Source organism: Homo sapiens, chromosome 6, assembly GCF_000001405.40.
Source record: "Homo sapiens chromosome 6, GRCh38.p14 Primary Assembly".
NCBI lineage: Eukaryota > Metazoa > Chordata > Mammalia > Primates > Hominidae > Homo > Homo sapiens.
This window is the reverse complement of record NC_000006.12, coordinates 4,218,926-4,241,713: the sequence shown is the minus strand read 5'-3', so window position 1 is coordinate 4,241,713 and position 22,788 is coordinate 4,218,926. Positions and strand designations below refer to the sequence as shown.

The 22,788-nt window shown below is 41.2% G+C and overlaps 1 pseudogene; it reads left to right on the top strand.

The window, feature by feature from the left end:
• Positions 1-13,185: 13,185 nt before the first annotated feature.
• On the top strand, positions 13,186-13,301 carry LOC124901556 (uncharacterized; annotated as a pseudogene).
• Positions 13,302-22,788: the final 9,487 nt, after the last annotated feature.

Below are 22,788 nucleotides of genomic sequence, written 5' to 3'. Positions count from 1 at the left end.
GATACACGGTGGAGGGAAAAACACACATTGGGGCTTGTTGGGGTCGGGGGAGGGAGAGCATCAGGAAGAACAGCTAATGGATGCTGGGCTTAACACCTAGGTGATGGTTGATCTGTGCAGCAAACCTCCATGATACACCTATGTAACAAACCTGCACATCCTGCACATGTACCCTGAAACTTAAAATAAGAAAAAAAAGAACAAATCTCCCCAAACTCAGCAACATATCACAAGTCTTTTAAATTTTTTTAGTGGGTTGATGACCCTTAGTCTCCTATTCGTTCATTCTTGCCTTCTTTTGAAAACACATACACACACACACACACACACACACACACACGCCCAAAGAAAATTTAACTCCAAGTATCTGCACCTGAGAAAGGAGCTCCATTGCCAAGTATTTTGCCCCCAGGAATGACATGTTGTTTTAACATCTCCATGACTTCCTGCAGGTCAGCCCTTCTTGGCCACCATTCTGACCCTGTTGGTAGTTATAATAACCACCTGGCTTCTGGGGCCTAAGCACTGCCATTTGTCCTCAATTGCTTCAGGCTCCATATCCCAGTTGCCATCAGTGAGCCCACTCCTGTGACAACTTCTTCTGTCACCATTGCTCCCTGCTGAGGGAGCCACCACCGACCACCAACACCCTTTCACAGCTCAATCTGGATGGCCTTGGTGGATGATGTGTCCTCTAGGCCTTCCCATGGAATATAGACCTCTAGTGAGCTGATTGGCCTCACAGAATATATCCATTTTAGCATGCTCACTTCTTGTGTAATCCCTTATTCTATCATCTACCAGAGAAATTCAGGTATTTCAACCTTGCTCAGCATGGGACATTGCCTTTTCCAATCTTCTAGGAGCCACCTTAGCAGCAAGTTTGCATCATTTCCAGGTATTATATCCCAAAAGAGTTTCCTCTAAGTCAGTCAGGAGATCGAGACCACCCTGGCTAACATGGTGAAACCCTGTCTCTACTAAAAATACAAAAAAAATTAGCTGGACGTAGAGGTGGGTGCCTGTAGTCCCAGCTACTCGGGAGGCTGAGGCAGGAGAATGGCGTGAACCCAGGAGGCAGAGCTTGCAGTGAGCCGAGATAGCGCCACTGCACTTCAGCCTGGGTGACAGAGCGAGACTCCGTCTCAAAAAAAAAAAAAAAAGTTCCTCTAAGTCAAGAAACTCTCTCATCTCCAGTATTACGATCACTCCCCGGCCTTGATTAAGCACCCTCAGAATCTAGTCCCACACTGCTGGTCCATGCTGTCTAGGGCTGTAGACCCTTTCCTCTCTTAGCTCATGCAGCATATGCCCTGATGGGCTTATGTTGCAACTTAACTCTGGTTCTAAGTCTGGCAGCACCAGGACAGGGGAACAGCTCCTGAGTTGGGCACCTATTGACCTGAGGTAGAGAGACTTCTGTCCTGTTGCTCTGTGGAGTGCTGGTTTGTAATGGGATGGATGAGCCACTCAGGATAGGCCAGAACTATCAGTCCTGAGCCTCATATCCCACCTTTTCTGTTAGCCTACTGCAAGGCATGAGAACTGCTTTGCAAACTCTCATACTTAATTTTTTTATTGTTAATTGCTCTCAGGTTTCTAAATTTGCATTCACTGTTGTCTTATCATCCCATAGGGCTTGGATGCACTTGATAATGACCATCCATAACAACCAGCAGGATTGGGCAGGGAACCATCAAATCACAATGCAGATTTAACTCCGTCTTTGCACCTCAAAAAGGGGCTCCAAATTTTCTCTCTTGCTCGTCTGCTTTGTATCTCTTTGCCTTCTGCTCTTATCTTTATTATTTCCATCCTTCTATTTTGTTTGTGCTTAATTTGCTGTTCTTTTTCTAGCTCCTTGATATAGATACTTGAATAATCGATTTTTTTTCTAGAATAGGCTGTAGTAGACATAGAGATGTGCCACTCTGATAACCCTTCAAAAAAGAACTGTGGGCCAGGTTGGGTGGCACATGCCTGTAATCCAGTGCTTTGGGAAGCCAAGTTGAGAGATTCACTTGGGGCCAGGAGTTTAGGACCAGCCTGGGCAACATAGCAAGACCCTATCTCCACAAAAATAAGAAATTAGCCAGGCATGGAGGCATGCACTTGTAGTCCTGCCTACTCAGGAGGCTGAGGTGGGAGTTCAAGAGGTCGAGGCTACAGTGATCTATGATCATACCACTGCACTCCAGTCGGTGACAGAGTGAGACTGCCCAGCTGCTTATAAGAGTGGTCATATGACAGTCTCCAGAAGGCAATAGAAGAGAAAGCAGATGGATAAGAGAGAAAACACAGAAGTCAAAAGTTGGTTGTTTGGAAAGACTAATAAAATTGATAACTTCCTAGCAAGATTTATTAAGAAAAAGAGACATAAAGAAAGAGAATACAAACTGCCAATATCAGGATTCAATATAGATGAAAAAGATAAGAAAACATTATGAATCATTTTTGCCAATACATTTGACAACTTAGATAAAATGGGCAGAATCCTTTAAAAGCATGACTTACTAAAATAGCCACAGAGAAAATTGAAATTTTAAATAATCCCAAATCTGTCAAAGTAATTGAATCCATAATTTAAAAACTTTTCCACAAAGAAAACTCTGGTTCCAGATAGTATCACTGGTAAATTCTTCCAAACATTTGAGGAAGAAATCATACTTACCTTGTATTAACTCTGTTAGAAAATAGAGACCAGGGACTACTTTCTAGCTTGTTTTATGAGGCTTGATAGCATAATATGTCAAGAATATTATAAGAAAGTAAAATTATAGGCCAATTTCTGTCAGACTAAGGCAGAAATTCAAAACAAAATAATAACAAATCAGATTCAGCAAGTGTGGTTTATCCTAGGAAGGCAAGATTGATTTAATATTCAAAAATCAATCAATGCAATTCATCACATTAACAGAATAAGTGACAAATATATAATCATCTCAGTAGATTTAGAAAAGTTATTTGATTAAATTCAATACCCATTCATCATTTTAAAAACCCTCAGCAAAATAGAATTAAAAGGAAACTTCCTCAATCTCATAAAGGGTAGAACAAAACACCCACAGCTAACAATAAAGTTGAAACAGTGAACTTTTTCCCCTATCAGAGCCAGGCAAGGATGTCCACTATGGTTTTTCTTTCAACTGTTAATTGTTCATTCTAGCCAGTGTAATGAGGCCAGAAAAATAAGTAAAACATATAAAACTTGTACAGAAAAATGTAAAACGTTCATTTGAAAATTATGTGACTGTTAACATAAAATATTCAAAATAATCTACAAACTATTGAATTTAATGACTGAATTGAGTGCGGTTACTAGATGCATGGTCAATATACAAAAATCGGATCAGTTAGGAGGTAGTGTCACATATTCTAAAAGTTGACTTCAAACTCTTTCCTACCCTTGGCAATTTATCTAGCTTCTCCATACAGGTGATCTTCTTAGTTTAGATGGGGGGAAAAACCTGCTAGAACAACTCTAACATTCTTTGAATGAGAGTGAGTGGTGCTCCCAAGAGAAGAAATTGGTCTTTGTTTAGGGAAACAACTTTTTCATGAGTTGTTGGTTATGAAATGTAAGACTCAAGGTTTTCACCAGAATGGGGAGGATCTGTAAAAGAGAACTAAAGTTATCTTCATAATAATATAAAAGACTAACCTCTGAGGAGAGAGCATTTTGAGTTGTTTCCTGTTTTGTATCTTATTTCCTCTCTGTTGTCCTCCAATGCAGCAAAACTATATTAATTGCTTAATTAGTGTCAGATGTATTTTGGAATTTTCTTAGGAAATAAAGGAAGGGCTGTGATCAGATTGGTGGGTGAATTGAACCACAGAAAACAGAAAGCAATAAAGTATAGCAAACCAGGGAGGCAACCCAACAGCCAAAAGTGGTCTAGAATAATCTGACAACTGGAGTTTGCAGTTGACAGATGCTGTCTGGGAATTTTCAGAAATATTTCGGAGGGGACTAAATTTACTAAAATCAAAAGTGAGATGTGGACTCAAGTTATTTTATTTGGATATAAAAAATAGTTACACCTCAGTTATCTATAGACTTGGGGATATTCAGTTTCATTATAATTACTGTACTGATGAATAACTTTTGTATGAAAATAGTATATCACATAACTTGCAAAGCACTTTACTTTTTATTATATAATTTCACAGATAATTCATTATTGTTTTATTCTCCAAACCTGTCCCAATACGTGGAAGAGATGATATATATTTTCCCTAAATAATACTTTTAAGGTATTTAAACAGAACCTAACACCATTTTAGAATAGAGCCATGCAATGATTTCTTCAGGATTATTAAGTAATCCATTCTATTTACCATAGAGCAAACACCCAGCTCATTTGAAATTGTTTGCTTGTTTGTTTTTTAGAGATGGGGTCTTGCCGTGTTGCCCAGGCTGGATTAGAATTCCTGGGCTCAAAAGATTCTGCTGTTTCAGCCTCATCAGTAGCTGAGACTATAAACATGTACCACCTCACCCAGCTGAAATAAGATTTTAAATTTGAAAGTAGACCTCACCTTTCAAGGACATCTTTATTAGAGAGCATGTTGATACTCTCTAGTGGCTTGGGCCAGATGGCCCTATAATTCTCCCCCCTTCAGGTTCTATAATGCATGGAGATGGAAGAGAATGAATAAAGAGAACGTCAGAAAGGCTCAAGTGTCAAAAGAGAAATGTACCAATTATACTGCTTCCCTTAGCAAAAGTGAACCTGGGATTAGCATGGCAGCGATGGAGGTCACATCTGTCTGTGAGGAGCAGAGACATCATTAAATAGCTTTTGTTTTATCAATGAATAATGTCATCTGGCTTTTCTTCCCTTAAACTAGAGCTAATTGATCAGCTCTCTCTTCCTCAAAAAAGGTGTTATCTTACACATTAACTGCAAAGCACTTTCAAAGTTTTTCCTCGAGCAGCCCACAGCAACCAAGGAAAGAAACTCCACATGTGCACAGGAAGTTGGGATGACCCTGAATCTAATATAAGAGCATGTCATGCAAAATTAAACTGGGGGGCATTCTCCAAAAGAAGTGGCCTGTATTCTTCAAAACTTCCAGGATCTTTAAGGACAATGAAAGGCTGCAGTTCTGATGAAAGGAGACGAAGGAGACATGACAGCTCCATGCACTGTGTGGTCCCCTTTGGATCCTGGATCAGAGAAAAAATATCTATAAAGAACATGAATATGGCAATTGATAAAAATTGAATGTGCACTGTAGATTATATCATGGTATTGTCTCAGTGCTAAGTTACCTAAATTTAATCATTGTACTGTGGTTATGTAAGAATTATTGTTCTTACAAAATTCATGCTGAGCTATTTAGGAGTAAGGGCATGGTGTCTGCTATTAAGTTTTAAATAGTTCAAAAAATAGTAATACACACATATGTTTAGAGAGGAGTAATAAAGCAAATGTGGCAGGATAAGGTTAGTGTCAAAGTAGAATTTTCTAAATGTTAATGACATGAATCTCACACAAATATATGACATATAGAATGAACATGCTTCAGAAATTTATTTTACTCATTAATGAAAGAGCTAACAGAATCGTAAAGCTGACTCAAAGGGAATTGAGGAGAGTGAGCATTATAAATGCTATAATTATAAATTATAGGCACTGAAAGAAATAATGCTGAATACGATTGTTAGGTTAGATATAAAACTAGTTACTGGCCCACAGTGCTATAAAATCGTAATCCTTTGGCCATCTTTTCTAAAGGGGAGAAATTATTTTGTATCTATACTGCAAAAAAAATCATTTCCACATTATAAATCTGCAAGATAACATTTAATTTTACAGAATGTGAGCCCTAGCTGATGGTAAACGGTAAGTGAAACAAAGGTACAGAACTCGTAGACAATGCTCATGTATGGCAATAAGAAGACATGGTCACCTTTTACTTCATATCCAAGTCTTGGGTGTTTTTTCTTAACACTTGGAATACATACAAGAATGAATGAAATAAACTTTAAGCACATAACTGTAAGGATTTAACCTTATCAATCTATCAATGCCAACAAGTTTCTCTGGGATTTATCTATTTATTGGTGTGTTTGTTTGTTTAATTATTTACTTTTGCAACAAGTAAAGAGACTGTTAAGACTGTCTTTCTGTCCCAGGAGGAAATACTCTACAAAAATATCATCTCTTTGCCTTCACTATTACTAATGTCATTAAAGGAGTACAGGCTCTGCTAGAAGGAGTACAAAGTTCAGAACATTCAGAACTTTCCTTAAACTGGTCAGCCAAATTGAAGGAAATAGGTTACAATGTCTTTGAAAAAAGAGAATAAATCTTCAGAAAAACAAGCTTTACTAGTCCATTTTCACCCTGTTGAAAAAGACATACCAAAGACTGGGCAATTTACAAAAGGAAGAGAATTAATGGACTCACAATTCCATGTGGCTGGGGAGGCCTCACAATCATGGTGGAAGGTGAAAGGCATGTCTCACCATTGCGAGACCAGGAGGGCCAGAGAGAGACCTTGGGGTGTATACAGAAGGATATCTTTATTGAGTGCACTCAGACTTAACATCCAAAGACTGGGCCCAGAATAAAGACAGCACTTGATTTTTTTAAATTATTATTATACTTTAAGTTCTAGGGTACATGTGCACAATGTGCAGGTTACATGTGCCATGTTGGTTTGCTGCATCCATCAACTCATCATTTACATTAGGTATTTCTCCTAATGCTATACCTACCCCAGCCCCACAGCCCCCGACCAGCCCCAGTGTGTGATGTTCCTTGCCCTGTGTCCATGTGTTCTCATTATTCAACTCCCACTTATGAATGAGAACATGCAGTGTTTGGTTTTCTGTCCTTGTGATAGTTTGCTTAGAATGATGGTTTCCAGCTTCATCCATGTCCCTGCAAAGGACATGAACTCATCCTTTTTTTATGGCTGCATAGTATTCCATGGTGTATATGTGCCACATTTTCTTAATCCGGTCTATCATTGATGGACATTTGGGTTGATCCCAAGTCTTTGCTATTGTGAATAGTGCCACAATAAACATATGTGTGCATGTGTCTTTATCGTAGAATGATTTATAATCCTTTGGGTATATGCCCAGTAATGGGACTGCTGGGTCAAATGGTATTTCTAGTTCTAGATCCTTCAGGAATCGCCACACTGTCTTCCACAATGGTTGAACTAATTTGCACTCCCACCAACAGTGTAAAAGCGTTCCTATTTCTCCACACACTCTCCAACATCTGTTGTTTCCTGACTTTTTAATGATCGCCATTCTAACTGGCATGAGATGGTATCTCATTGTGGTTTTGATTTGCATTTCTCTAATGACCAGTGATGATAAGCATTTTTTCATGTGTCTGTTGGCTGCATAAATGTCTTTTTTTGAGAAGTGTCTGTTTATATCCTTTGCCCAATTTGATGTGGTTGTTTGTTTTTTTCTTGTAAATTTGTTTAAGTTCTTTGTAGATTCTGGATATTAGCCCTTTGTCAGATGGCTGGATTGCAAAAATTTTCTCCCATTCTGTAGGTTGCCTCTTCGCTCTGATGATAGTTTCTTTTGCTGTACAGAAGCTCTTTAGTTTAATTAAACCCAATTTGTCTATTTTGGCTTTTGTTGCCATTGCTTTTGGTGTTTTAGTCATAAAGTCTTTACTCATGCCTATGTCCTGAATTATTGCCTAGGTTTTCTTCTATGGTTTTTACGGTGTTAGGTCTTACATTTAAGTCTTTAATCCATCTTGAGATAATTTTTGTATAAGGCGTAAGGAAGGGATCCAGTTTCAGCTTTCTACATATGGCTAGCCAGTTTTCCCAGCATCATTTATTAAATAGGGAATCCTTTCCCCATTGCTTGTTTTTGTCAGGTTTGTCAAAGATCAGATGGTTGTAGATGTGTGGTGTTATTTCTGAAACCTCTGTTCTTTTCCATTGGTCTATATATCTGTTTTGGTACCAGTACCATGCTGTTTTGGTTACTGTAGCCTTGTAGTATAGTTTGAAGTCAGGTAGTATGATGCCTCCAGCTTTGTTCTTTTTGCTTAGGATTGTCTTGGCTATCCAGGCTCTTTTTTGGTTCCATATGAACTTTAAAGAAGTTTTTTCCAATTCTATGAAGAAAGTCATTGGTAGCTTTATGGGGATAGCATTCAATCTATAAATTACTTTGGGCAGTATGGCCATTTTCACAATATTGCTTCTTCCTATCCATGAGCATGAAATGTTCTTCCATTTGATTGTGTTCTCTTTTATTTTGTTGAGTGGTGGTTTGTAGTTCTCCTTGAAAAGGGCCTGAACTTGCCTTGTAAGTTGGATTCCTAGGTATTTTATTCTCTTTTTAGTAATTGTGAATGGGAGTTCCCTCATGATTTGGCTGTTTGTCTATTATTGGTGTATAGGAATGCTTGTGATTTTTGCACATTGATTTTGTATCCTGAGACTTTGCTGAAGTTGCTTATCAGTTTAAGGTGATTTTGGGCTGAGACAATAGGGTTTTCTAAATATACAATCATGTCATCTGCAAACAGAGATAATTTGACTTCCTCTTTTAGTAATTGAATACCCTTTATTTCTTTCTCTTGCCTGATTGCCCTAGCCAGAACTTGCAACACTATGTTGAATACAAGTGCTGCGAGAGGGCATCCTTGTCTTGTGCTGGTTTTCAAAGGGAATGCTTCCAGTTTTTGCCCATTCAGTATGATATTGGCTGTGGGTTTGTCATAAATAGCTCTTATTATTTTGAGATACCTTCCATCAATACCTAGTTTATTGAGAGTTTTTAGCATGAAGCGATGTTGAATTTTGTCAAAGGCCTTTTCTGCATCTATTGAGATAATCATGTGGTTTTTGTTGTTGGTTCTGTTTATGTGATGGATTACATTTATTGATTTGTGTATGTTGAACTAGCCTTGCATCCCAGGGATGAAGCCGACTTGATCATGGTGGATAAGCGTTTTGATATGCTGCTGGATTCAGTTTGCCAATATTTTGTTGAGGATTTTCACATCAATGTTAATCAGGGATATTGGCCTAAAATTCTTTTTGTTGTGTCTCTACCAGGCTTTGGTATCAGGATGATGCTAGCCTAGTAAAATGATTTAGGGAGGATTCCCTCTTTTTCTATTAATTGGGATAGTTTCAGAAGGAATAGTACCAGCTCCTCTTTGTACCTCTGGTAGAATTCAGCTGTGAATCCGCCTGGTCCTGGACTTTTTTTGGTTGGTAGGCTATTAATTATTGCCTCAATTTCAGAACCTGTTATTGGTCTATTCAGAGATTCAACTTCTTCCTGGTTTAGTCTTGTGAGGGTGTATGTGTCCAGGAACTTATCCATTTCTTCTAGATTTTCTAGTTTATGTGCATAGAGATGTTGATAGTATTCTCTGATGGTAGTTTGTATTTCTGTGGGATGGGTGGTGATATCTTCTTTATCACTTTTTATTGAGTCTATTTTATTCTTCTCTCTTGTCCTGCTAGTGGTCCATCTATTTTGTTGATCTTTTCAAGAAACCAGGCCCTGGGTACATTGATTTTTTAAAGGGTTTTTTGTGTCTCTATCTCCTTCAGTTCTACTCTGTTCTTAGTTATTTCTTGTGTTCTGCTAGCTCTTAAATGTGTTTGCTCTTGCTTCTCTAGTTCTTTTAATTGTGATGTTAGGGTGTCGATTTTAGATCTTTCCTGCTTTCTCTTTTGGGCATTTAGTGCTATAAATTTCCCTCTACACACTGCTTTAAATGTGTCCCAGAGAATCTGGTACATTGTGTCTTTGTTCTCACTGGTTTCAAAGAACATCTTTGTTTCTGCCTTCATTTTGTTATTTACCCAGTAGTCATTCAGGAGCAGGTTGTTCAATTTCCATGTAGTTCTGCAGTTTTGAGTGAGTTTCTTAATTCTGAGTTCTAATTTGATTGTACTGTGGTCTGAGAGACAGTTTCTTGTGATGTCTGTCTGCTCTTTTACGTTGCTGAGGAGTGTTTTTCTTCCAATTAAATGGTAAATTTTAGAATAAGTGCGATGTGGTGCTGAGAAGAATGTATATACTGTTGATTTGGGGTGGAGAGTTCTGTAGATGTCTGTTAGGTACGCTTGGTCCAGAGCTGAGTTCAAGTCCTGGATATCCTTGTTAATTTTCTGTCTCTTTGATCTAATATTGACAATGGGGTATTAAAGTCTCCCACTATTATTGTATGGGAGTGTAAGTCTCTTTGTAGGTCTCTAAGAACTTGCTTTATGAAGCCAGGTGCTCCTGTATTGGGTGCATATGTATTTAGGATAGTTAGCTCTTCTTGTTGCATTGATCCCTTTACCATTAAGTAATGCCCTTCTTTTTTTCTTTTGGTCTTTGCTGGTTTAAAGTCTGTTTTATCAGAGACTAGGATTGAAACCCCTGCTTTTTTCTTTGCTTTCCATTTGCTTGGTAGATCTTCCTCCATCCCTTTATTTTGACCCTATGTGTGTCTTTTCAAGTGAAGTGGGTCTCCTGAATACAGCACATTGATGCAGTCCGTGTCTTTTAATTGGGGCATTTAGCCCATTTACATTTAAGTTTCATATTGTTATGTGTGAATTTGATCTTGTCATTATGTTGTCAGCTGGTTATTTTGCCCATTAGTTGATGCAGTTTCTTCATAACGTCGATGGTCTTTACAATTTGACATGTTTTTGCAGTGGCTGGTACCAGTTGTTCACTTCCATGTTTAGTGCTTCCTTCAGGAGCTCTTGTAAGGCAGGCCTGGTGGTGACAAAATCTCTCAGCATTTGCTTGTTTGTAGAGGCTTTTATTTCTCCTTCGCTTATGAAGCTTAGTTTGGCTGGATATGAAATTCTAGGTTGAAAATTCTTTTCTTTAAGAACATTGAGTATTGGCCCTTACTCTTTTCTAGCTTGTAGGGTTTCTGCCGAGAGATCTGCTGTTAGTCTGATGGGCTTCCCTTTGTGGGTAACCTGACCTTTCTCCCTGGCTGCCCTTAACATTTTTTCCTTCATTTCAACCTTGGGGAATCTGATGATTATTTGTCTTGGGGTTGCTCTTCTCAAGGAGTATCTTTGTCACCTTCTCTGTATTTCCTGAATTTGAATGTTGGCCTGCCTTGCTAGATTGGTGAAGTTCTCCTGGATAATATCCTGAAGAGTGTTTTCCAACTTGGTTCCATTTTCCCCTCACTTTCAGGTACACCAATCAAATGTAGATTTGGTCTTTTCACCTAGTCCCATATTTCTTGGAGGCTTTGTTCATTTTTTCTCACTCTTTTTTTCTCTGATCTTGTCTTCTTGCTTTATTTCATTAAGTCAATCTTCAGTCACTGATATCCTTTCTTCCACATGATCGATTCAGCTACTGAAGCTTGTGTATGCTTCACGAAGTTCTCATGCTGTGTTTTTCAGCTCCATCAGGTCATTTATATTCTTCTCTACATTGCTTATTCTAGTTAGCAATTCGTCTAACCTCCTTTCAAGGTTCTTAGCTTCCTTGCGATGGGTTAGAACACGCCCCTTTAGCTTGTATGAGTCTGTTATTACCAACCTTCTGAAGCCTACTTCTGTCAATTCTTCAAACTCATTCTCCCTCCAGTTTTGTTCCCTTGCTGGCGAGGAGTTGTGGTCCTTTGAAGGAGGAGAGGCATTCTGCTTTTTGGAATTTTCAGCCTTTCTGCGCTGGTTTCTCTCCATCTTTGTGGTTTTATCATCCACCTTTGGACTTTGATGTTGGTGACCTATGGATGGAGTTTTGGTGTGGATGTCCTTTTTGTTGATGTTGATGCTATTCCTTTCTGTTTGTTAGTTTTCCTTCTAACAGTCAGGCCTCTCAGCTGCAGGTCTGTTGGAGTTTGCCAGAGGTTCACTCCAGATCCTGTTTGCCTGAGCATCACCAGGGGAGGCTGCAGAACAGCAAATATTGCTTCCTGATCCTTCATCTGGAGGCTTTGTCCCAGAGGGGCACCCACCAGATGCCAGCCAGAGCTCTCCTGTATGAGGTGTCTGCAGCCTGACTGGGAGGTGTCTCCCAGTCAGGCTACACAAGGGTCAGGGACCCACTTGAGGAGGCAGTCTGTCCATTATCAGAGCTCAAACGCTGTGATGGGAGAACCACTTCTCTCTTCAGAGCTGTCAGACAGGGACATTTAAGTCTGCTGAAGCTGTGCCCACAGCTGCCCCTTCCCCTAGGTGCTTTTTCCCAGGGAGATGGGGGTTTTATCTATAAGTCCCCAACTGGGGCTGCTGCCTTTTGTTCAGAGATGCTCTGCCCACAGACGTGGAATCTAGAAAGGCAGATGGCCTTGTTGAGAGCGGTGGGCTTCACCCGGTTCGAACTTTCCCGGAGGCTTTCTTTACACTGTGGGCATAAAACCGCCTACTCAAGCCTCAGCAATGGTGGGTGCCCCTCCCCTCTCCAAGCTCCAGTGTCCCAGGTTGATCTCAGACTGCTGTGCTAGCAGCGAGAATTTCAAGCCAATTGATCTCAGCTTGCTGGGCTCTGTGGGCATGGGACCCACCGAGCCAGGCACCAGAGGGAATCTCCTTGTCTGCCAGTTGCAAAGACCATGGGAAAAGCACAGTATCTGGGCAGTAGTGTACTGTTCCTCCTGGTACAGTCTCTCGTGGCTTCCCTTGGCTAGGAAAGGGAAATCCCCTGATCCCTTGCACTTCCCGGGTGAGGCAACGCCTCGCCCTGCTTTGGCTCGCCATCTATGGGCTGCACCCACTGTTCAACCAGTCCCAATGAGATGAACCAGGTACCTCAGGTGGAAATGCAGAAAACACCCATCTTCTTCATCAATCTTGCTGGGAGCTGCAGATCGGAGCTGTTCCTATTTGGATATCTTGCCGGAAATCCCCATCAGTCTCTTTTATTTTAGCTATTCTGGAGGATGTGTGGTGATATCTCATTGATTTTGATTTGCATTTACATGATTATTGAGGAAATTGAACACTTTTGGACATCATTTTTTATAAATTATATATCCAGCCTTCTACTCATTTTTCTATTTGTCTTTTTCTTTTTTTGTTGTTATTATACTTTAAGTTCTAGGGTACATGTGCACAATGTGCAGGTTTGTTACATATGTATACATGTGCCATGTTGGTGTGCTGCACTCATTAACTCGTCATTTACATTAGGTATATCTCCTAATGCTATCCCTCCCCCCTCCCCCCACCCCATGACAGGCCCCGGTATGTGATGTTCCCCTTCTTTCTCAGCCTTTTGGCTAAGATCTAGTGTAGTATCTGTTCTTATCAGTTTAATATTTGTCTTTTTCTTATTGTTTATAGGAGTGCTCTGCATATTCTGGATGTGATCCCTTTGTCAGTTATGTGTGTATATATATTTTCTTCCACTCTAAAACTTGCCTCTTCACTTCCTTAATGATGTCTTTTGATAAATAAAAATTATTAATTTGAATGCGGTCTAATTTATCAATCTCTTCCTTTATAGCTACTGGTTTTTGTAATCTGTTTAAAAAATATTTCCCTACTCAAAGTTATAAAAATAATTTATTTTATTTTTTAATATTTATGTTTAAAGCTACATTCCTTCTGAAATTGATTTTTGTGGGTAGTTTAGGGTATGTTTCAAGACTTTCTGTTTACACATGGCTATCTAATTGATCTGTCAGCATTAATTTCTTAATTATATTTTTAATTTTTTTGTATTTTTTGTAGAGATGGGGTCTTGCTATGTTGCCCAGATTGGTCTCAAACTCCTGAGCTCAAGTGATCCACACACCTTGGCCTCCCAAAGTGCTGAGATTAAAGGTGTGAGCCACTGTGTCTAGCTACTTGTATTTTTGTACCCATTAATCAACCTCTCTTCACCCCTCCCTCCTTCCCACTACCCTTCCTGGCCTCTGGTAACCACTGGATACAGTGTATCTTCATGAGATCCACTTTCTTCAGTTCCACGTGATTGAGAACATGCAGTATTTGATTTTCTGTTTCTGAGTTATTTCACTTGGGATAACAGCCTCCAGCTCCATCCAAATTACATTACTGCAAATGACAAGATTTCATTCCTTTTTATGGCTGTATAATATTCCAGTGTGTGTGTGTGTGTGTGTGTGTGTGTGTGTGTGTGTGTGTGTCATGTTTTCTTTCTTCATTCATCTGTTGATGGGCACAATCTCAGCTCACCGCAACCTCCACCTCCTGGGTTTAAGCAATTATCCTGCCTCACCCTCCTGATTAGCTAGAACTACAGGCATGTGACACCATGCCCAGATATTTTCTATATTTTTGGTAGAGACAGCATTTTGCCATGTTGGCCAGGCTGGTCTCAAACTTCTGGCCTCAAGTGATCTGCCCGCCTCAGCCTCCCAAAGTGCTGGGATTACAGATATGAGCCACTGCACCTGGCCAAATTTTGGCTATTATGAAGAGTACCGCACTAGACATGGAGTGCAGAATCTCTTCCACATATTGATTTCCTTTCTTTTAGGTATATACTACATAAGTTTTAATCCTTGAAAGCCCTGTCTTAACTTACATAAGGCTATATTAACTATTTTAACTGTGGATCTGTGGGATCCCATTTTATTATTTTTATTTATTTATTTATTTATTGAGAGGGAGTCTCCATCTGTTGCCCGGACTGGAGTGCAGTGGTACGATCTCAGCTCGCTGCAACCTCTGCCTCTTGGGTTCAAGCCATTCTCCTGCCTCAGTCTCCCAAGTAGCTGAGATTATAGCGCAGGCAGCCACCATGACTCCTGGCTATTTTTTTGTATTTTTAGTAGAGATGGGGTTTCACCATGTTGGCCAGGCTGGTCTTGAACTCCTGACCTCAGGTGATCTGCCTGCCTCGGCTTCCCAAAGTGTTAGGATTACAAGTGCGAGCTACTGTGCCCAGCCACTGGGATCCCATTTTAATCAAGCCAATTTGTAAGTGCCAAAAATTTGACTTTTTAAATTTCTTATTGTGTTGGCACATCTATTCCCAATATCAGATATTTTAGTGCAATGGCTACTATGACTATGGGACATTTAGGCAAGAGTATAAAGTGAGCCACACCCATATTTCCTCTATTTTATATTTACTTTCCTAAGATTATAGGGGGTACAGTGTTTAAACTTAGTGGCATCTCAAAGTATAATTTGAGCTTCTGCATTGATTAAGTCTATGAATTGGAAATTTTTGGAAATTTGAATGTTGGCCTGCCTTGCTGGGTTAGGGAAGTTCTCCTGGATAATATCCTGAAGAGTGTTTTCTAACTTGGTTCCATTCTCCCAGTCACTTTCTGGTACACCAATCAAACGTATATTTGGTCTTTTCACATAGTCCCATATTTCTTGGAGGCTTTGCTCACTTCTTTTCACTCTTTTTTCTCTAATCTTGTCTTCTTGCTTTATTTCATTATTTGATCTTCAATCACTGATATCCTTACTTCCACTTGATCGAATCAGCTATTGAGGCTTGTGCATGCATCACAAAGTTCTCATGCCATGGTTTTCAGCTCCATCAGGTCACTTAAGGTCTTCTCGACACTGTTTATTCTAGTTAGCCGTTCATCTAACCTTTTTTCAACGTTTTTAGCTTCCTTGTGATGGGTTAGAACATGCTCCTTTAGCTCGGTGAAGTTTGTTATTACCGACCTTCTGAAACCTACTTCTGTCAACTCGTCTAATTCATTCTCTGTCCAGTCTTGTTCCCTTGCTGGTGAGGAGCTGTGATCCTTTGGAGGAAAAAAGGCTCTCTGGTTTTTAGAATTTTCAGCTTTTCTGCTCTGGCTTCTCCTCATCTTTGTGGTTTTATCAACCTTTGGTCTTTGATGTTGGTGACCTACAGACGGGATCTTGGTGTGGATGTCCTTTTTGTTGATGTTGATGCTATTCCTTTCTGTTTGTTAGTTTTCCTTCTAACAGTCAGACCCCTCAGCTGCAGGTCTGTTGGAGTTTGCTGGAGGCCCACTCCAGACCCTGTTTGTTTGGGTATCACCAGCGGAGGCTGCAGAAAAGCAAATATCGCTGCCTGATCCTTCATCTGGAAGCTTCGTCCCAGAGGGGCACCTGCCTGTTTGAGGTGTCTGTTGCCCCCTACTGGGAGATGTTTCCCACTCAGGCTACACAGGGGTCAGGGACCCACTTGAGGATGCAGTCTGTCCATTCTAGGATCTCAAACATTGTGCTGAGAGAACCACTGCTCTCTTCAGGGCTGTCAGACAGGGATGTTTAAGTCTGCAGAAGCTGTCTGTTGCCTTTTGTTCTACTCTGCCCTGCCCCCAGAGGTAGAGGCAGTAGGCCTTGCTGAGCTGAGGTGGAATGTGCCCAGTTCATGCTTCCAGGCTGCTTGTTGACACTGTGAGCTACTCAAGCCTCAGCAATGGCAGATGCCCCTCCCCCCGTCCAGCTGCAGCATCGTGGGTCGATTTCAGACTGCTGTGCTAGCAGTGGCAAGGCTCTGTGGGCGTGGGACCCACCAAGCCAGGCATTGGAGGGTATCTCCTGGTCTGCCAGTTGCTAAGACTGTTGGAATAGTGCAATATTTGGTCAGGCGTGAACCGTTTCTCCAGATACAGTCTGTCACAGCTTCCCTTGGCTAGAAAAGGGAAATCCCCCAACCCCTTGTGCTTCCTAAGTGAGGCCACGCCCTGCTCTACTTCAGCTTGCCCTCCGTGGGCTGCACCCACTGTCCAACCAGTCCCAATGAGATGAACCTGGTACCTCAGTTGGAAATGGAGAAATCACCTGTCTTCTGTGTTGATCTCGCTGGGAGCTGCAGACTGGAGCTGTTCCTATTTGGCCATCTTGGAAGCGACTCCGAGCACTTGACTTTTATACACACTTTAAAAAGGGGGTGGGCTAGCTTGAAGCAGGCTTACAGTTACAGTGGCACGAAAGCAAGGATACGGAGGCAGAACAATTAATTAAATTGTGACAGGTTTAGAACTCAGGATTACACATGACCGTTGCCAAGCAACCCAGATGTCTGTTATCTAGGTTTTGCTCAAAAGAGCCTTGCACTGGTTTATCTTATAACCTTCACTACGGTGCCCAGACAGCTGTAGTTCAGGTCTGCTCAGGCTTATCACAACCTTCACTGTACTTCTTAGATAAAACAGAATACTTGAAGTTACTAGTTACAGAGAACAAGAATCTATAAACTCATACCATAAAACAGAGGAAAATTTGTTTTTCCTCTCCCTATGTTGAGGGAGTGCTGGGGAGAGTCTCCAGAGCACATTCCTTTGTGTCTAGGCTTCTTAGATAGTATTATCAAGACTTTCGCTGGGTCTGGGCTGTGCCCATTGCTGCCTCTGGGACAAGTCAGCCTATTACAGGAAAGCTTATTTCTTTCTCTTTTTAATTTATTTTTCTTTATTTCTTTAATTTCTCACCTCATCACATGGCAGAAGACAAGAGAAGCATGAGAGCCAAGTGAAAGGGGTTTCCCCTTATAAAACGATGAGAACTTACTCACTACCACGAGAACAGTATGGGGGAAACCACAGCCATGATTCAATTATATCCCACCAGGTCCCTCCCACAACTTGTGGGAATTATGGGAGATACAATTCAAGATAAGATTTGAGTGTGGACAGAGCCAAACCATATAATTCCACCTCTAGCTCCTCCCAAATCTCATGTCCTCACATTCAAAACCAGTCATGCCTTCTCAACAGTCTCCCAAAGTCTTAACTCATTTCAGCATTAACTCAAAAGTCCACAGTCCAAAATCTCGTCTGAGACAAGGCAAGTCTCTTCTGCCTATGAGCCTGTTAAATCAAAAGCAAGTTAGTTACTTCCTAGATACATAGGAACTACAGACATTGGGTAAGTACACTCATTCCAAATGGGAAAAATTGGCCAAACAAAGGGGCTACAGGCCCCATGCAGGGCAGTCAAATCTTAAAGCTCCAAAATGATCCATTTTGACTGAGACATGTGACTCCATGTTTCACATCCAGGTCATGCTGATGCAAGAGGTGGGTTCCCATGGTCTTGGGCAGCTCTGTCCCTGTGGCTTTGCAAGGTAGAGCCTCCCTCCTGGCTGTTTTCACAGGCTGGTGTTGAGTGTCTGTGGCTTTTCCAGGCACATGGTGCAAGCTGTCAGTGGATCTACTATTCTGGGGTCTGGAGGACTGTGGCCCTCTTCTCACAGTTCCACTAGGCAGTGCTCCAGGAGGGACTCCATGTGGGGGCTCTAACCCCACATTGCCCTTCCACACTGTCCTCGCAGAGGTTCTCCATGAGGGCCTCGCCCCTGCAGCAAACTTCTGCTTGGGCATCCAGGCATTTCCACACATCCTCTGAAATATAGATGGAGGTTCCCAAACCCCAATTCTTGACTTCTGTGCACTTGCAGGATCAACACCACATGGAAGCTGCCAAGGCTTGTGGCTTGCACCCTCTGAAGACATGGCCTGAGCTCTACTTTGGCCCCTATCAGCCATGGCTGCAGCAGCTGGGATCCAGGGCACCAAGTCCCTAGGCTGCACACAGCATGGGGACCCTAGGCCTGGCCCACTAAAACATTTTTTTCTCCAAGGCCTCCAGGTGTGTGATTGGTGGGGCTGCCATGAAGACCTCTGACATGCCCTGGAGACATTTTCCTCATTGTCTTGGGGATTAACACTCAGCTCCAAGTTACTTATAAAAATTTCTGCACCCAGCCTGAATTTTTCCTCAGAAAATGGGATTTTCTTTTCTATTGCATTGTCAGGTTGCAAATTTTCTGAACTTATATGCTGTTTCCCTTTTAAAACTAAAAGTCTTTAACAGCACCCAAGTCACCTCTTGAAAGCTTTGCTGCTTAGAATTTTCTCCAACCAGATACCCTGAATCATCTCTCTCAAGTTCAATGCTCCACAGATCTCTAGGGCAGGGGCAAAATTCTGCCCGTCTCTTTGCTAAAACACATCAAGCGTCACCTTTACTCCAGTTCCCAACGAGTTCCTCATCTCCATCTGAGACCATGTCAGCCTGGATTTCATTGTCCATATGATTATCAGCATTTTGGTCAAAGTCATTCAACAAATCTCTAGGGAGTTCCAAACTTTCCCACATTTTCCTGTCTTCTTCTGAGCCCTCCAAACTGTTCCAACCTCTGCCTGCTACCCAGTTTCAAAGTTACTTCCACATTTTCAGGTATCTTTTCAGCAGAACCCCACTCTACTACTGGTACCAATTGACTGTATTAGTCTGTTTTCATGCTATTGATAAAGACATACCCAAGACAGGGCAATTTACAAAAGAAAGAGGTTTAATGAACTAACATTTCCACGTGGCTGGGGAGGCCTCACAATTATGGTGGAAGGTGAAAGGCACATTTCACATGGCAGCAGACAAGAGAAGAGTAAGAGCCAAAGAAAAGGGGTTTCCCCTTATAAAACCATCAGATCTCGTGAGACTTATTCACTACCATGAGAACAGTATGGGGGAAACCGCCACCATAATTCAATTATCTCCCACTGGGTCCCTCCCACAACATGTGGGAATTATGGGAGATACAATTCAAAATGAGATTTGGGTGGGGACAGAGCCAAACCATATCACAGGCCAAGCCAACTCTGATAAAAACAAAAACAAACACACTTTTCTTTGAGGAGAGGAGTTCAAAGTTCATTTGACTTCTTCAAGGAATTTTTCTATAAAAGTTTACCAGCACAGGTGGTTAAGAAAAGGCAAAACAGATGGTTGGGCAGCCTGCATTATCTCAGCATGGTGATGAAGTGGTCCTGCCTCAGCTGGCATCACTGCTGTAGAGTGGGGTTAGTTATGATGTGACACAGAAGTCCAATGGTGTGACACAATGAGGGATCCATCCCCTGCTTAGATTCTGAGCAGAAAGGGGCCCTGAGCACCAAATGCTGGATATGCAGGGAGATCACAAGCAATAGAGAACATACCAGGGCAAGGTGCAGAACTTAAAGACACCGACAGAGAATGAGCTGTAGCACTGTGCCACCAGTCCCATTAACTAATGAAATGGGTAGCCATAATATCTTGTAGGAATATTTAAAGGGAAAAAAGGGTGACCACAGAAATCAATACATGAACATTTGGTATTCAGCGACTACTTCATGTCCAAGCTGGTTTGGAATCTTAAATCAGAAGCCCACCTATATCAATACAGGTCAATTTTGACAGTCAGATAACTTAAATAAGCCTCATGAGCCTTGTGGGGAACACAGAACTGGAGACTCCTGATCCCACTGAAAGTGAGAAGCCACTACCCAAGGGCCACTGAGTGCTACCGTTGGGAACAAAGAACTCCTGGCACCAAATATTCAGATTTTTTTTGAAGCTAGAACCTCAATTTGTATGTGTAACCTCCAAGTTTTTTAACTTTGACTCAAATTCTTATAAATGCTGGTGCGAGGCAAACAAAACACATCTATTATGAGCCAACAGTTTGTGACCTCTGCATTTATGGTTCCCTTTCAAACCATATCCAATATCACCAGATCTCTATAAAAATCCCCCTTTCAAACAATCTGATCCCCATTCCCAGATACTTCATCCCCAGATTATCTCCTTCTGTCTTGTGTCTTTGAATGGAAGACTCTTTGCCAAACTTTTGATTCAGTCTCTCCTAAGATTTTCATTTCAAATCATCTTTCTTGACTCGGCCCACTGCAGTCTTTGAATGAGTGATCTTCCACCTTTGTGTTTGACCTTGGCATCCATGGAATACACCCCAATTCTGGGGCTTGGCATCTCTGTTACTGTTTTTGTGAAAGATTCTGAGCTAGGATGTGTGTGTGTGTGCACGTGCATGCATGTGTGTGTGTGTTTGAGTGTGTGTGTGTATTTCCTTAGCTATACTGTAATTAATAATTACAATTAGAGGTTCTCAACTTTTACTGCACATTACAATTACTTAGGAATGACTTAGGAATTATACAAATGCCTGGGCCCCACCCTAGAGATTCTGATGCAATTTGTCTGGATTATGCAATTTGGCATCAATACTTTTTAAATGTTTTCCAGTGATTTAAATGTGCAGCAGGGTTACAAACTACTGAAGGAAAGGCAGCAGAGCACACAATTCAGAGGGTAGACTTACCTCCGGGGCCACCTGACCTCCCATTCTGGTTTTATCATCCAATGGCTATGTGACCTCAGCCAAGTGTCTACAGTGTCTGAGGCTCCCTCAATCACACAAAACACATAACAGGCTGCTTCATGAGGCTGTGTGACAGTTAAATGAAGCACTGTTTGTGAAGTGCTTAGCAAGTATGCAATAAATAATGATTATTATTATTAGCAGCTGTGAGAATCTTATAACCATATATTATTTAACAATATTTTCAGTATTCTTGCTACTTAAAAAAAATTTTTAAACATCCATATTAAAGTCCTATTGAATTAGTCACACACACACACAAACATTTATATACACACATATAAACTAACTTAGTAAAATGTGTACTCATTTCAAAATACTGTTTCAATAAACCATTTTCACGACAGCATAGAAATTACAGTTAAAGAAACCCTTTGAGCATTGTGATATGTAGATACCTGAGCAGAATAATGTCATCAATTTGTTAAACATAGTTGCTGCCTGATATGGGTTTGTTGTGTCCCCACCCAAATCTCATCTTGAATTGTAGTTCCCATAATCCTCACATGTCATGGGAGGGACCTGGTGGGAGGTAATTTAATCATGGTGGCGGCTACCCTCATGCTGTTCTCATTATAGTGAGTGAATTCTCATAACATCTGATGGTTGTATAAGGGGCATTTCCCCCCTTGGCTCTGCACTTCTTCCTGCCACTATGTGAAGAAGGACGTGTTTCCTTCCCCTTCTGCCATGATTGTAAGTTTCCTGAAGCCTCCCTAGCCCTGCAGAACTGTGAGTAAATTAAACCTCTTTCATTTATAAATTACCCAGTCTTGGGTATTTTTTCATAGCAGTGTGAGAACAGACTAATACAGTAAATTGGTACCACAGAGAGTAGGGCACTGCTGTAAAGATATCAGAAAATGTGGAAGCACGATTGGAACTAGGTAATAGGCAGTGGTTGGAAGCATTCGGAGGGCTCAGAAGAAAGGAAAATGTGGGGAAGTTTGAAACTCCCTAAAGACTTGGAGGGTTCAGAAGACAGGAAGATGTGGGAAAGTTTGGAACTCCCTAGAGATTTGTTGAATGGCTTTGATCAAAATGCTAATAGTGATGTGAACAATGAAGTGCAGGCTAAGGTGGTCTCAGACAGAGATGAGGAACTTCTTGGGAACTGGAATAAAGGTGACTCTTGCTATGTTTTAGCAAAGAGACTGGTGGCATTTTGCCCCTGCTATTGAGATCTGTGGAACTTTGAACTTGAGCGAGATGATTTAGGGTATCTACTGGAAGAAGTTTCTAAGCAGCAAAGATTTCAAGAAGTGACTTGGATGCTGTTAAAATCATTCAGTTTTATGTATTCACAAAAATAGGCTTTGGAATTGGAACTTATGTTTAAATGGGAAGCAGAGCATTAAAGTTCAGAAAATTTGTAGCCTGACAATGTGATAGAAAAGAAAAACCCATGTTCTGAGGAGAAATTCAAGCTGGCTGCAGAAATTTGCATAACTAACAAGAAGCCAAATGTTAATGGCTAAGACAATGGGGAAAATGTCTCTAGGGCATGTCAGAGAACTTTGCGGCAGCCCCTCCCATCACAGGCCCAGAGGCCTAGTAGGAAAAAAATGGTTTTGTGGGCTGGCCCCAGGGCCTTGCTGCTTTGTGCCATCCTGGGACTTGATGCCGTGCATCCCAGCCATGGCCAAGGTACAGCTTGGGCTGTAGCTTCAGAGGGTGCAAGCCCCAAGCCTTGGCAGTTTCCTCATGGTGTTAAGCATGCAGGTGCACAG